We start from the raw sequence: 17,134 nt of genomic DNA, 5'->3' as shown, positions 1-17,134 counted from the left end.
AGTTCAACTTGGGTGGAGATCAAATCTGAACTCAGAGTTCCTTCCTCAGTTCCTTATTGGCAAAATATGTATAAACAATCTCTTTAAAATGTTACTACCTGAGAATGTTTCTGAACGTCATGGCAGCATTCCCCCAAAGGTGTCATCGCCTTGACAAAGGAGAAATGAACCACAAAAAAACTTACACTCTAGCTTTCTATTAAAATACATAATACAAATACTATTCAAGTGGTTCTACTACTAGAAATGAACTACTTGTTTTCCCCCCCGCCCCCCCGAGATGGAGTCTTGCTCCATCACCATCCGGGATTGCAGTAGCTCAATCTCAGCTCACTGCAACCTCCACCTTCCGAGTTCAAGCAATTCTCCTGCCTCAGCCTCCTGAGTAGCTGGGATTACAGGTGCCTGCCACCACACCCAGCTAATTTTTGTATTTTTAGTAGAGACAGGGTTTCACCATGTTGGCCAGGCTGGTCTCAAACTCCTGACCTTGTGATCCACCTGCCTCGGCCTCCCAAAGTGCTGGGATTACAGGCGTGAGCCACCACACCCGGCCTGTTTTGTTTCTAAATACAAAAAAAAAAAAAAAATTGATGTTTAATTTCCAAGTCTAATATACAAGGTTCAGTATGTTTAATACAGAGTTTATAGATTGTTTTTTCAATTGCTCCACTACTTCCTACTTTATAAAATAATAAATTAGACCAGTGGGTAGAAGAATTTAACCCTTCGGAGTAGGCGTAGAAAATTTAATACTCTGGGTTAAAAATACTGGGGACTCAAAAAATCCTAAGTACGTAATGGGAACTAAACTTTAAAGGATATATATATTTTTTTTTTTTTTTTTTTTTTTTTTTTTTTTTTTTGTAGAGACAGGGCCTTGCTATGTTGCCCAGGCTTGCCTTGAACTCCTGGCCTCAAGTGATCTTCCCCACTCAGCCTCCCAAAGTGTTGGGATTACAGGCATGAACCACCATTCACCATGCCTGGTAGATTTTTTTTTTTTTTTTTTTTGAGACAGAATCTCAATCTATCATCCAGGCTGGAGTGCAATGGTGCGATCTTGGCTTCGCCTCCTGGGTTCAAACAACTCTCCTGCCTCAGCCTCCTGAGTAGCTGGAATTACAGGCATGTGCCACAATGCCTGGCTAATTTTTGTATTTTTAGTAGAGATGGGGTTTCACCATGTTGGCCAGGGTGGTCTCGAACTCCTGACCTCAGGTGATCCACCCGCCTCAGCTTCCCAAAGTGGTGGGATTACAGGCATGAGCCACCGTGTCTGGCCGCCTGGTAGATATATATTTAAATTGGGCTAAACTCTCAGATTAAAAGAATTTAACTTTAAAATATAACATGACCAGATACAGATATCTGGTTAATCATATACGCTAAATTCCTGATATATCAATATTTGACCAGTTTGCAAAGAATCAGACAACAGTAGTTCCCTCACCATTGAAAACAGTTCAGTCTGCTTTGAATGACTCAGAAAGCATCTCAGATTTCTTAAATAACTCTTGGTCATCATTTAAGAAGATCAATGAGCAATGTAGAGTGACTATGCTCAAGTGTCTTTTAGCAGCATACTCCAATAAATAGACTGCCTGAGAAACTACCTTTTGTCTTAGTACTGGGCTGCCTGGATTCTGCTGCCAACTCTGTATATAAAGTACTTTATTGAGATATTTTCAGTAAATCTTAGTTATTATTTAAATCTTTGTTTTCAGTCTCTTCCAACCACTGTAAAACACTGGAAGTACAAATAAGTAAAAGGAGTAAGGTAGTAGAACTTAATGCATAAAGCAGTAATTGAACGCTTTATATATCAGTTCCCTCATCTGCAAAATGGGGATAATAATATCTAAGACATATTATCTTCTGATATTAAAAACCAACCACAGGCTGGGCGCAGTAGCTTGTGCCTGTCATCCCAGTACTTTGGGAGGCCAAGGTGGGAGGACTGCTTCAGCCCAGGAGCTCAAGGCCAGCCTCGGCAACATGGCAAGACCCCATCTCTACAAAAAATACAAAAATTAGCTGGGAGTGGTGGCGCATGCCTGTGGTCCCAGTTACTCGGGAGGCTGAGGTGGGAGGATCACTTGAGCCTGGAAGGTCAAAGCCTGCAGTGAACTGTAATCATGCCACTGCACAGCAGCTTGAGCGACACAGTGAGACCCTGTCTCAAAAAAAAAAAAAAAAAAAAAAAAATCAACAAAAAACCAACCTCATAGAATTGTTATCAGCACCTACTTCACAGGGCTACTACAAAGTATCTTCAACAGTGCTTGCCAAATGGTAAAAGTTGCCAAAATGTTAGTTATTACTATGTGCATTATTGTTGTCACTATAGCATCAATTTGATACAGTAAATAATTATATTGTTTAGAAAATATGTCAACAAGTTGAGGGAGCAAAAGAGCAAAAATATTTTCTTTTAGGGCTGACCTCACAAATAAATGGGTAACTAATTCACTTTGGACATAATGTCTAAAGCAAGGAAAATAACGGTCACATACTCTGTGCTGATCAGATGAGATCTGCAAGGATGTCAACAAATCAGAGCACCCAAAAAAATCTATGAGATAAAGTATCTGAGAACCAAGCAACAGAAGGAATTGTTGGAATTGCCAGGGATACTTCTGCTGAAAATAGACTGCTAAGGAGCAGACAGGGCAGTGCAAGGGCACAGATCCTGGTAACTCAACAATATTGAGAGGTTATTAAATAGGAAAGGGAGTCGAATTTTCTTGCGTTTTACCAGATAGAAAAATTCGGGTCAATGAGTCAAAGCTAGAGGAAACAGACTTCAGCTCACTTATAAGGAAAAACTGTCACATCAGACACTACAGATGTTGGAAATGCCTACGGACATGGGTGGGATGGTGTGAGAGTCTGGTCTTTTCCAAATCTTAAGTCTCTGAACTAAGAGTCGTTTGTTGTTGAAGACTAGAATTCAAGGTTAAACTAAAGAATGCTTTCAAAGAAAATGTCAAATAACTGGTAGCACAATTATTTTAGAAAACTGCAGTTAATATTAATATTCGCTTCTTGTCAACTACCTTACAAGGGCCCTTACCAATATTAAAACAACATTTTACAACTTTAAAATGCAGCTGTAAGTTCCTCCCTTGAGCCCTAGAAGTTATTTTATTAAAGATAACATTATACAGATCAAACCCGCAAGTATTTTAAAGTACTAATAACAGAAGTACAGATCCCAACCAAACTTCTTTAAGGTTTCCTGGGAAAAATTTTCCAGAGTTCCACCAAGAACACATGAGGAACACGTTTCCATTTGCTGAGGTCCTGGCAATCCACATGGAGCCTAGTGCCTGGCACAAAGAAAAGACAGAAGAGTCCTCTCTTTCCTCCCTCCCTCTCCCCATCTCTCCTTGCTGGACAGTGAGAACAACAACGGCTAATTCCAACACAGCTGGAGAAAGAAGGGGGAAGAGATGAGAAGACAGGAGGAAGGAAGATGGAAGTACATGGGATGCATTTAAAATGGTAATAGTCTAATTATACAAATGAGCACTGCTTCACAAAAACACGCTTCTTTTGTTATGAGACGATAAGCAAACTAGGTATCTTTGCCATTTGTTTAAAACTGGATTATAAAACTTTAGAGAAAATAAAATTAAATAGTTCTAAACTGAAATAACTTTAGAATTGAAGTGAAAACCTCTTCTTCAGGAATATATTAACTAGGATTTCAGAAACAAGAGCCGCTACAGGAAAAAGAAAAAAGGAATAGAAGGGATTAGCAGTGAGGAAATAAGACAGGTATAGATGAAGCATAATTATATCTGTAAAGAGATCATTCTATTATTTTCTACTAACTTAATTTTATGTGTAACAAAAACTTAATACAATCCAAAATGTTACCTTCTCCCTAAATTCAAAGAAGAAGTTCTAAGTTCTCTAACTTCATAGACTGTTGCTTTCTAACTGTAACAAAGATTCCATAATGTAATTTTTTATATAACAAATCCATTACTATATTGGAAAGTTAATTATAATACTGGGTAACTTACAGTCATATTTCTACAAGAAAATGAAATGGAACTAGCAGGAAACTTACTGGCCAGCATTCATTTACTTTAGCTTTTTTTTTTTTCACACTTCTCAGACATGTGTGATATGATCTTTACAGGGTATCTTTGCAAACTGCCTCTGCACATACTTGACCTATCCTTCCTGAAATGAATTTACTTTTCTTGTCTTCATGGTGAACACCTATTTATCCTTAAAAGACTCAGCTTGCCCACTGCCTCCTTGAAGTCTTCCTATACCCAAATATCTCATATACTAACTCATACACTAAATTTCCAAACTTTTCTCACAAACTTTTCTTGTCACTACAGAATTGGTACAAGAGCAATCTTCTCAGGATTCATGTCATTCAGACCCACAGTTCCATTTATTATCATCTTTTTTTTTTTTTTTTTTTTTTTGAGATGGAGTTTTGCTCTCATTGCCCAGGCTGGAGTGCAGTGGCACCATCTTGGGTCACTGCAACCTCTACCTCCTGAGTTCAAGCAATTCTCCTGCCTCAGCCTCCCGGGTAGCTGGGATTACAGGCACCTGCCACCATGCCTGGCTAATTTTTTTTTTGTATTTTTAGTGGAGACGGGGTTTCACCTTCTTGGCCAGGCTGGTCTTGAACTCAGGTGATTGACCTGCCTTGGCCTCCCAAAGTGCTGGGATTACAGGCATAAGCCACTGCACCCAGCCCCTTCATTCCATTTAGATTCTATGGTAGGCTTGTTAGATCAAAGGGCCCTTGATTCTTCATCCAAAAAAATGGGTGTAAAATGTGAATTGAGGGTTTCCAGAAAAGCCCTTGACTCCTCAGTAGAACAGTACTGATAGCAAAGCTTCTTATCATTACAACCTCAAAGTTACAAACTACAGCACAATCCCTAAAGGACAAGTGGCAGACCATGCTAACAAAAGGCAGCAGACTTCCTGAACTACACTTCAAGTTAAGAGGCAAAATATGGGTAAAAGACGTCTAAGTCATATTAAAGGGTTCCTTGTAATTACACCTAATAACACAAATCGATATGTTGGAAACCTCAATCTTGTTATACTAGAATGATTTGACTCAATTGATTAGTTAAGTATTCCTTGAGTAAAATCTAGACAGTAAGACACTGTTTCTAAGCAAATGAAACCAAAAGTTCAATTGTGATTCACCATGTGTCTTACTCTTTTTTAAAAGAGTGATGTTTGCTCATCATTTCATGGGATCGTTTAGCATGAAATGTGGCTCCGATTTGCCTACACTGTGCATGTTTAGGGTGCACTCAAATCACGGCAACCAGAAGTTCACTGCAATGACTTTTTCCCTCAAGTCAATGGCCTAGAATTAAACACTATGGTTAATACTGAGAGCTACACAGCAGGAGAGATAACGACTGTGACAGTCACAGTCACCTGCAACTGTCAGCCACTGATCAACACAGAGAAACAGACATGTAGACAGGTTCATGGCCCTCCAGGAGGCCTGAATTTACCATGCTGTTTTCATCGTCACCATGTTATAACCAACTAAACTGGCCAGGTTTGAGGTCCTTGGAAGAGGTCATGCTGTGCCTTTTCCTTTTCCCTACACAAGAGAACTGGGACAATGTTGAAGATAAAATGCCTAAGATTAGACATCGTGTCCCTAACTGCAGGGCTCCATCACTTTCAATTCAGTCATGTTACTATTCAGATTCAAAATGCTGAACTTAGAAATGTGCCATGTAGTAAACTGTTCTCATTTTCATCTAGCTAATCAATATTGGAGAGCATTCCATCTGTCTAATAAAAAGTTAAAAGCGTAGCTCACAATATGCCCTTTTCCACAAGTGTTGCATATTTTCTTGGGTACCACATGCTACATCACTATTTCAGGAATAAGATACCTGAATCAACCCTCTAATCTTTATCTGAACTGTCCACCCTTTAAAAAACACACACATATAGATAATGGTGTTGTAAAAAGAGTAATTGTAAGAAGAGTCCTCATCTTCTAGAGTTATACACACATGTGAAAATAGTTGTGAGCGAAATAATGTCTGGGGTTTGCTTTGTAATAATCCAGAGAGAAAGGGAGCATACCGATAGCCCACTGGCCAGGAGATGGTAACAGTGGAAGCCAGGTCACAGGTGTGTGGGGGTTACTACACAATTATCTCTACTTCAGAATATTTGATATTTTCTGTAATAAAGAGTAAGAAAAAAAGGGACACAACACTAAGTCACTGACCTGAATCCACTTTTAATCTTCCATGGAATAAAGAAAAATACTTTATTTTTATTTTATTTATTTATTTTTGAGATGAAATCTTGCTCTGTCGCCCAGGCTGGAGTGCAGTGGCGCAATCTCAGCTCAGTGCAACCTTCGCCTCCTGGGTTCAAAAGCGATTCTCCTGCCTCAGCCTCCTGAGTAGCTGGGATTACAGACACCCACCATCATGCCCAGCTAATTTTTGTATTTTTTGTAGAGACCATGTTGGCCAGGCTGGTCTTGAACTCCTAACCTCAGGTGATCTGCCTGCCTCAGCCTCCCACAGTGTTGGGATTACAGGTGTGAGCCACCACGCCCGGCCAAGAAGCAGACTTTAAAGTAGAATAATATGGTGTTACAGAAGTCACTAAACTTTTAAATTAAAACTAAGACATGCTACAGATTCACATGAAAGCCTAACTTTGAAAAGAATTCATAGGATCAATCAACATATCCACAATGAATGCACTTTAAAAAGTGGACCATCAAGATGGATATCCAGGTCAGCATTTCCATCAAGTTACTCATATATCTGATAGGAGCTCTTCTGCACGTTCTTGTTATTCCCACAGCTTAGCCGTAGCCTTTTCACTTCACTGCCCCTCTAACCACTTTGAAAACATGCTGGATGCATGTACCTATGTTGAACAAACAGAGCCGTTTTTTACACTGTATATAATAGGAGGTTTACTCAATTTTTACAGCATGCTGTGCATTAATATTTTAGGAATGAATTTACAACCAATATAGTAATCCTCCCAAAAGAGCTCTCCCACAGTGTCTACCACTAATACACATCCAAAATAAAAACTCTAAAGAGACTGCCTTGGGTATTATTTTGGTAAGCAATATTAAGTGCTAAAGTTTAAAAATAATAAGTATATAAAAGCCTATCTTGGTAGAACACATCTGATTAATAAACTATAAATTTTCCCAAAATCAAATGAAACAAATTAGAACAAAAAATAACATTTCTCTTGTAGCTGAAAATCCAGAAAAATAAACTGAAAATAAAGAACTTTCCTTTTAAATTACTTCCTTAATTCATTTTAATTTAAAAATAATGGAAATTTGTTTCTTTTTTGCCCTCCTACTCTGGAGTGGGGACAGTTACTAATAATCAGAAACTTTTGTTCCTGTTGTTGGTTTGTTTTTCTTTTAGGTCCTTATCAAAATGAATCCTTATCTAAACATCAAGATGTAAAGACTATCCATTCTGAGAATGTTTTGTTTCTCAATATGAAGAAAAGAAACTAAACATTTCCATAGTAACAGTGAGTGTTACTAAATGATATAACTTCCTAATACCTACATAGGAAGAAGAGCAGATGACAATTGAAGGGGGAAACTGGAAGCTGAAGGAGCTTGTAACAATCATCCTTATCCATGTCAAATTCCCTGTAGGCATATATTCCCAAATGGAGCGAGATTCTAGTCTACTCTCCCTAGATGCTAGGTTAAAAAGGAAAAGACATTATCAAAAGATTATCCTCGACACATAATGCTTAAAGAAGGGTGTGGCCATGTTTTACATAGGATTCAAACCCAAACAGGGAGTTCCTTCACCCATTTCTTTTATAATATCTAACCTCTTTTAATCAGTCCTTTACAATTCATTTGTCCTTAATTCACCAACTGTAACTGCTAAACATTTTTGAAATATATATCTGGTTTTTAAAATTGGAGAAGGGAAAAGTAGTGTATTGAAAATCTGCATTTACTAGGCCAGGCACGGTGGCTCACGCCTGTAATCCCAGCACTTTGGGAGGCTGAGGCAGGCGGATCATCTGAGGTCAGGAGTTCAAGACCAGCCTGGCCAACATGGTGAAATCCCGTTTCTACTAAAAATACAAAAAAATTAGCCCGGCATGGTGGCGCACGCCTGTAATCCCAGCTACTCAGGAGGCTGAGGTGGGAATTGCTTGAACCCGGGAGATGGAGGTTGCAGTGAGCTAAAATCACACTACTGCACTCCAGGCTCAGCGACAGAGCAAGACTCCATCTCAAAAAAAAAAAAAGTCTGCATTTACTAAAATGTAACACCCTCTGTTCCCCACCCCAACTTCTCAGGAGGAAATCATTTCCCCAATGTCTGCCATCCTTTCCCCAAAAGGCTGCCATGGTTGTTAAGAGCAGCAAAAGGTAACTTGTTCAGACAAACTAAGACCCGTGTCTTTATATGCTGAAAATACACATTACAAATAGATAATACTTTAAAATATTATTTGACCCATCAAGGATGACCATCATAAAATTATTTTATTGAGTTAGTTAGTTCTACTCACTTACTATGTGCCAGTATAAATCTATTATATGCATATCTCAAATAAGCCCTAAAAGGTAAGTACTATTATTATTATTATTCCCCTTATTAGATGAAAAAGTTTAAAACTTGGAACTTAGATATAGCCACATGGCTAGGAAATGGTGGAATCCATGCCTGCCTTACTTTGAAACTCAAACTCTTGACCCCAACACTACACAGCTTCTCTAATCAAAGCCTTTCTAAAAGGAAAGAAGGTCTTATTCTAATTAGTTGTAGTCAATACCAGTAATCTAAGATAATCAAATCAAAGTCCCTCTGCCCTCTTAGAAATACTAAGCTCCACTTATTGTAAGTATAAAATGTATGCTGTATATGTAAATGTGTGTGAATTACTGTCTACATACAACTGCAAGGCATTTCAGCACTTTTGAGGAATACCTCATCAGTATTCCTCAAAACTGTCAAGGTCATGAAAAACACAGAAAAGTAAGCCAGGTGCAGTGGCTCACACCTGTAATCCCAGCACTTTGGTAGGCCTAAGCAGGTGGATCATGAGGTCAGGAGTTGGACACTAGCCTTGCCAACATAGTGAAACCCCATCTCTACTAAAAACACAAAAAATTAGCCGGGTATGGTGGCATGTGCCTGTAGTCAAAGCTACTCAGTAGGCTGAGATGGGAGAATTGCTTGAACCCAGGAGGCATAGGTTGCAGTGAGCCAAGACCGTCCCATTACACTCCAGCCTGGGCGACAGAGCGAGACTCCATCTCAAAAAAAAAAAAAAAAAAAGAGAGAAAGAAAAACAGAAAAGTGAAAAACTGTCACACACTAGAGGAGACAAAAGAGACATGACAATCAAATGCAATGTGGTATCTTGAATTAGATCTTGAAACAGAAAAAAGGCAATGGAAAAACTAGTGAAATCCAAATAAAGGCCAGGCGCAGTGGCTCACGCCTATAGTCCCAGCACTTTGAAAGGTCAAGGCAGGTGGATCACTTGAGGTCAGGAGTTCAAAACCAGCCTGGCCAACATAGTGAAACCCCATCTCTACTAAAAATACAAAAATTAGCCAGGCATGTGCACATGCCTTTAATCTCAGCTACTCAGGAGACTGAGGTAGGAGAATTGCTTGAACCCAGGAGGTGGAGGTTGTAGTGACCCAAGATCGTGCCACTGCACTCCAGCCTGGATGACACAGCAAGGCTCTGTCTCAAACAAAAACAAAAAAATAAATTCCACAGGTTAGTTCAGAGTTAAGTACTAATGATGGTTTCTTATACTTGAGAGATATATTGTGGTAATACATCTGCTAAACTGAGTGAGGGGGTTGGGAAACTATGTTTGAGAACTCTCTGTACTATCTTTGCAACTTCTCTGTAATTATAAAAGTATTCCAAAATAAAGAAAAAGTTAATAATTTAAAAGTTGATTTAAAATATCAACATCTCTATACAGAAAGAAATGTGCTGCACTTTGATCCTAGTTAGGCATTTTATTCTGAACAAAGCAGAGCGTAGGCAATTGACTCACTGCTTTCAACCCATAAAACCACTTTGATATAAATACATACAAAAGCACAATAAAAATGATAAATTATAAATATAAAAGCCCAATGGTATTTAATATCTCCTCATCTCCTCACATTTGTAAACATATGAATAATTTTAAAACCAGACAAGTATACTTCTAATATCACATTAATTCTACATGTGAATCTGAAGGACAAGGGTCCTCTTCCCTACTTTTCCCTGCAGGAGTGCTGCCTTACACATTTAGAACCTCCATTTGTCTATTAGGTTGAGAGAATTTTCTAAGCCCTATCAACCGAAACTCTCTACCCATTGCTTCTTCTCTAAAAGGAAGAGAAACCAACTCTCCTAAATGATATCTCATCATCAGGCAATGGTTTTTACCTGGTAATTCAAATGTGGCCAGTATTTCAAAATGATTTTCTAGATACTGTTCTCAAATTTTCTCTTAACTGTTTTCCAAAGTTATTCCCTTACTCATTCACTTGACAAATAATTACATCACACAGCAATCTGAATCACACTGAACTTGGATAACAAGTTAAATTACCAATTCAAAAATATGAAAGCATATTCCATTGTAATGCTCCTGGCACCCTAGAGAGATTTTGTCATTTCAAAAACAACACCCAAACCAAGGCACTAAGGACTGCAATCCACCCCATTATTTTACACTTAATTCTCTAAATGAGATATAAAAACATTCTTACACAGGTTACCTGAAATATCAGCATTTATTTGTCTTATTTATAATGTGATTCTGGTTTACATTAAACACAAAAGCACTAGATATTATATATATATATTATAAAATATATATTATATATAATTATATATTATATTATATATATACATATATATATATTTTTTTTTTAAGTCAGAGTCTCACTCTGTCACCAAGGCTGTAGTGTAATGGTGCAATCTCGGCTCATTGCAACCTCCACCTTCCCAGTTCGCAATTTTCGTGCCTCAGCCTCCCAAGTATCTGGGACTACAGGTGCGTACCATCATGCCTGGCTAATTTTTTTGTATTTTTAGTAGAGATGGGGTTTCACCATTTTGGCCAGGCTGGTCTCAAACTCCTGAACTCAAGTGATCTGCCTGTCTCAGCCTTCCAAAGTGCTGGGATTACAGGAGTGAGCCAGTGTGCCTGGCCAAAAGTACTATATATTATTTCATGGGACATGGTGATCTTATTAAATCAGAGGAATATAAAATGGCCAAAATAAGATAAAAAATTAAATCACTGAAAAGGCAGAATAAAGGTGAAGGGGAGATGGTATAATATTAGACTATTTATATGAAAAAACAGTCAGAGAAAGAAGGGAAATTTGTAACAATTCTCTGGGTATTTTGTGGTTTTATAGTTGTCTTAGCCTGGGTCAGTCCCTCAAATATTCCCAATCTCATGTTTTTTATCTACAACATTAAGATAGTAATGCCTGTTTACAGACCAATTTATTTTTAAGTATAAACTGGGCAAGTAAAAAACAATTTTTAAAAAGCCACTTTTCAGGCAAAATTAGTTTTTAAAAAACTAAAAATTGCTAATCACTGGCAGTATCTGGGGAGGAAAAAAAAAGTGTGTGTAACTAACCATATTTTAGACCCAGCTAAAGCAGAAAGGAACTTTGTAGCCAGCTAGAAGCTGAGTGGATTCCTGGATTAAGTGCTTGCTTACCTTGGAGACTTGTCGCAGCCACCTTAAGTATTCTGTGAAAGTATCAAAGCAAATGTAGTAAGTCTGGCTTTGGGGTCCAGAGGAGCTAAATGCTAAACAGTGTTGGTGCTTTTTCACTTCTTCTACCTATAAAAGCAAACAGAGAGAAGCAGAAACAAGTCAGACAGCAGAACCACTGATGTATTTCACTAACTATGCCTCTGATCAAGGAGCCTGCATGGATTTGCATGTTTCCCTATATATGTTACTCATTAATGAGAACTAAGTTCCTGCATATGATCACCCAATTTGAATTACAAAGAAACCAAAAAAGGGGGAGTTTTATCTTTACTATATTTCCCCACCACAGTGAAATTCTCCTCTTTCTGTTTAAAATTAGTCCAGACTCCCTTTCTTATTCTTCTAACCTCACAATAGGGTGCTGGGGTTCTTACTTCCTCTTAGAATTTTTACTTAAGATTTTACTTAGGAATTTTTACTTAAGAAGTCTTCAAGCATATTAAATAAGTATTGAAAACATTACTGTTAAACTGAAATTAACCTGTAATAAAACCCTACCATGAGAACTTTCAAGTCCTAATGATGCAGTGAAATACAGTCAAATCAAATTTCCACTCCTTGTAAGTTCTTCACAAGGGGAAAAATACACACCAAAAGTAACATTATACAAACTTCTATGTTTGGAAACTTAATAACAAACTTCTAAACAACTCACAGGTGCAAGGAGAAATTACAACCAAAATCTTAAAACGCTTAGAACTAAATAATTCTAGAAAAACTACATATCAAAATCTGTATGTTGCAATAAAAGAAGATATACAAAGGGAAATTTATATATATATATATTTTTTTCAATTGAACTCGTGTATCTTTTGATAGTCATATTGGAAAAGAAGGTAGAACATTAATTTGCTCGGCATGCACCTTAAGAACTTGGAAGGAAGCCTGGGCGTGGTGGCTCACGCCTGTAATCCCACCACTTTGGGAGGCCGAGGCAGGTGGATCACCTGAGGTCAGGAGTTCGAGACCAGCCTGGTCAACATGGTAAAACCCCTCTCTACTAAAAATACAAAAAAAACCTTACAGCTAGGAGCGGTGGTGGGTGCCTGTAGTCCCAGCTACTGGGGAGGCTGAGGTGGGAGGATCGCTTAAACCCAGGAGGCAGAGGTTGCAGTGAGCTGAGATCCAGCCTGGGTGACAGAGCAAGACTCTGTCTCCAAAAAAAAAAAAAACTTGGAAGGAAAAAAATAAAATCAAACCTCCAAATTGAATAAATCCAAAATTGAAAGAAGGCTATGATAAAAACTAGCAATTGGTGAAATGAAAACCAAATATGTAAGAGAAAACATTAACAAAGCAAAATACTGATTCTTCAAGAAAACTAGTACAATTGATAAATACTCTGGCAAGAAAAATGGATACATCCTCTGGCAAGAAAAAGAGAGCAGAGACACTTATAAATAATATTAACAATTAACAATAAAAAGGGAGACACAGCTACAGATTCGCCAGAGATTAAGAAGAGAATATTATGAACAATTTTGTGACAAATTCTTAGAAAAAATATGTTTTACCAATACTACTAAATAAAGAAAAACCAAAAGCCTAAATAGTCCTATCAGCCAGGTGCAGGCTCACACTTGTAATCCCAGCACTTCGGGAGACCTAGAGGGACAGATCGCTTGAGCCCAGGAGTTGGAGATCAACCTGTGCAACATGGCAAAACCTTATCTCTACAAAAAACAGAAAAACAAAAGTTAGCTGGGTGTGGCAGCGCACACCTTGTAGTCCTATAGCTACTCAGAAGTCTAAAGTGGGGAAATCGCCCAAGCCTGGGGAGGTCAAGGCTATAGTGTGGAGTAACTATACCACTGCACTCCAACCTGTACAATGGAGTAAAATCCAGTGTTAACAAAACAAAACAAAAATTGAATAGTCCTATAACTTTGTTTTTGAGACGGAATTTCACTCCTTGCCCAGGCTGGAGTGCAGTGGTGCAATCTTAGCTCACTGCAAACTCCGCCTTCCGATTGCAAGCGATTCTCCTATCTCAACCTCTTGAGTAGATGGGATTACAGCCTTGGCCTCCCAAAGTGCTGGGATTATAGGCATGAGCCACGCCTGGCCCCTATATAGCCATTTAAAATATAGAAGTTTTTTTTTTTTTTAATGTCTCAAAAAAAATCAGGCCCATATAGCTTTACAGGTAACTTTTACCAAAGTTTCAAAAAATAGATCAATCCAAACTCATGCAAACTCATCCAGCAAACAAAAAAATGAAGGAAAACACCCCAACCCATTCTATGAGGATAGTATAACCAAGACCCACATGAGAACAGTAACAGAAAGGAAACTTACAGGTAACCATGGTCACAAAGATTTATCTTGAACAAAATGTTGCATCAAAATCCAGTAATTTATTTTTATTTATTTATTTATTTATTTATTTATTTATTTATTTATTTATTTATTTATTTTTAGATGGAGTCTCGCTCTGTTGCCCAGGCTGCAGTGCAGTGGCACGATCTCAGCTCACTGCAACCTCTGCCTCCCAGGTTCAAGCGATTCTCCTGCCTCAGCCTCCCAAGTAACTGGGATTACAGGCGCCTGCCACTGCGCCACCAATTTTTGTATTTTTAGTAAAGACAGGGTTTCACCATCTTGGCCAGTCTGGTCTTGAACTCCTGACCTCGTGATCAACCCGCCTCAGCCTCTCAAGTGCTGGGATTACAGACATCAGCCACCATTCCCAGCCTTTTAATTAATTAATTTATTTATTTATTTTAGAAAACCCAGTAATTTAAAAATATATATATGTATCAAGAACAAGGCCGGGCACGGTGGCTCACCCCTATAATCCCAATACTTTGGAAGGCTGAGGCAGGCGAATCATTTGAGGTCAGGAGTTTGAGACCAGCCTGGCCAACATGGTGAAACCCCACTTCTACTAAAAATACAAAAATTAGTCGGGCGTGGTGGTGCATGCCTGTAATCCCAGGTACTCAGGAGGCTGAGGCAGGAGAATCGCTTGAACCCGGGAGGTGGAGGATGCAGTGAGCTGATATTGTGCCAGTGTGCTCCAGCCTGGGCAACACAGCAAGACTCCGCCTCAAAAAAAAAAAAAAAAAAAAAAGAACCAGTTGAATTTACCTCAGATAAAGAAAGACAGTTTAACGTAATTAGAACTATAAAACCATTAATCACATTAACGGATTAAAGACACCCATACTATTAACCCCACAGTTGCAGAAAAAGCTGTTAGTAACTTCATTCAGGCTGAAATGAAGAATAAAAATTCTCAGCAAACTCAGAAAATAAAAACTCACTTAAACTGACCAAGGGTATTTATCAAACATCTAAAGCAAACTTCAATGTTAATGATGAGATATCATTCTCAAGATCATTGATAAGGAGCCAGGTGCGGTGGCTCACACCTGTAATCCCAGCACTTTAGGAGGCCGAGGCAGGGGGGTCACCTGAGGTCAGAAGACCAGCCTGGTCAACATGATGAAACCCAGTCTCTACTAAAAATACAAAAATTAGCTGTGTGTGGTGGCATGCGCCTGTAGTCCCAGCTACTCGGGAGGCTGAGGCAGGAGAATGGCTTGAACCCGGGAGACAGAGGTTGCAGTGAACCAAGAATGCACCACTGCACTCCAGCCTGCGTGACAAGAGACAGACTCTGTCTCAAAAAAAAAAAGGAAAAAAAAAAGGATCATTGATAAGTATCTACTGTTTCTATTCAACACTGTACTAGATCTTCCTGCCCGTAACAGTAAGACAAAGAAAAGGAAGAAACCTGTCATCATTTGAATATTATATGATTAACTATACAGTAAACAAAAAAACCTACAGGCATCATATTAGAATAAACCAGAACATTTAGCAAGACGATAAATCAATACTCAAGATCAATACTCAAAAACCAACTGTGTTTCTATAAACCAAACAGAAAATACGATTTTTTAAAAAATGCTGTGTAAACAAATTGACAGATATCAAGCAAAAGGTTTCTTAGGGATGGAGAGGAGTGGGAGAGGGTGGGAGGAAAGGAAAATAAAAGGGTGGGAGGAAAGGAGAACAAAGGGACACGAGGAAACTTCTGGGAATAATGAACATGGTCACTATCCTGGTTGCCGTGATGGTTTAATGGGGGTATACAGCTATCAAATTGTGTTAACTGGAGTGTACAGTTATAAAACTGAAATGTGCAGTTTATTGTTGTCAATTACACGTCAGTAAAGTGTTGGTGAAGATGTGGAGAAACAACACTTGTACACTGATGTGAATGCAAAATGGTACATCGACCCTGAAAAACAACTTGGTATCATCTTGCGAAAGTAGATGTGTGTATGTCCCAGAGCCCAGTAACCGAGCTCCAAAGTGTATACCCAACAGTAGTATTTCTCAAGGAGATCATTATAGGAATTGTGGATTGAATAGTTCTTCATTGTCCCCTATGCAGAACTCTCTAATACTTTGCACAATATTTTAAACTCTCGCCTCTGCCTTTAAATGCCAAGAGTGTCCCCTGCAGCAAAGATAATGTTATTCACCAATCACTCTATCTACTCCACATTTCTCAGACCCCTTGCAATTAAGGTGGAGCGATGTGACTAGTTCTGGCCAATGAGCCACAGAGAGAAGTGGCATGTGTCACTTCTGCATCCAAACATACAAGGCCCATGAATGATGCTCCAATTACCTCTTCCCTTGCCAAAACAACAAAGGGAAGTATAAAAGAGCCAAGACTTCATCAGGCTGGGTCCCTGAACAACTGTGTGACAAAAGAAACGCCCACCCCCCAACCCCACTGACCCACAACAGACAATGTGAGAAATAACTGTTATGACAAGTCACTAAGATTGGGGGGAAAAGAGGGGTGTTACCAGGGCATTACTTATGCTTATATTAACTGATAATGTTCACTGTTCAATCATCTGACCATCAAAACATTCCTACATATAACCAAATGTCCCTTCAGCATAGTAACTCCACTCGCAAACTACTGTCTTAGAAAAGGTACTTGCATACCAGGAGGCATATCAACATGAGACTATAGCAGCAGCACTGTTGTTATTATAACAACAACAAACTGAAAGCAACCCAAATGTCCATCAGCAGGAAAATTACTTAAGGAATTATGAAAATTGTGGAATGTTTACAGTAGACATTATAGAGAAATGAAAACCACATAAGTAACATGTAATCTTATTATGAAACATTGTATTAGGTGAATAAATTCAATTACAGAAGACCACAGCAATTTATCACTTTTATACACATCAAAAACAAGCAAAATATAGATACACGGTAAAACTTATTTCAAAAAAGGAAAAAATGAGGAATATACATTCTAGGACAGTGAATCCTTCTAGGG

General features: G+C 38.5%; 1 protein-coding gene across 1 annotated transcript in view; it reads right to left on the bottom strand.

The window, feature by feature from the left end:
* Positions 1 to 17,134, bottom strand: part of PHLPP1 (PH domain and leucine rich repeat protein phosphatase 1) — a 264,893-nt gene that overhangs the window by 129,770 nt on the left and 117,989 nt on the right. Inside the window, exon 3 of the mRNA NM_194449.4 lies at positions 11,755 to 11,880. Coding sequence (NP_919431.2) covers positions 11,755 to 11,880 — 126 coding nt within the window. The remainder of the gene's footprint in view (positions 1 to 11,754; positions 11,881 to 17,134) is intronic.

Source organism: Homo sapiens, chromosome 18 (genome assembly GCF_000001405.40).
Source record: "Homo sapiens chromosome 18, GRCh38.p14 Primary Assembly".
NCBI lineage: Eukaryota > Metazoa > Chordata > Mammalia > Primates > Hominidae > Homo > Homo sapiens.
This window is presented reverse-complemented; position numbering and strand designations above follow the sequence as displayed.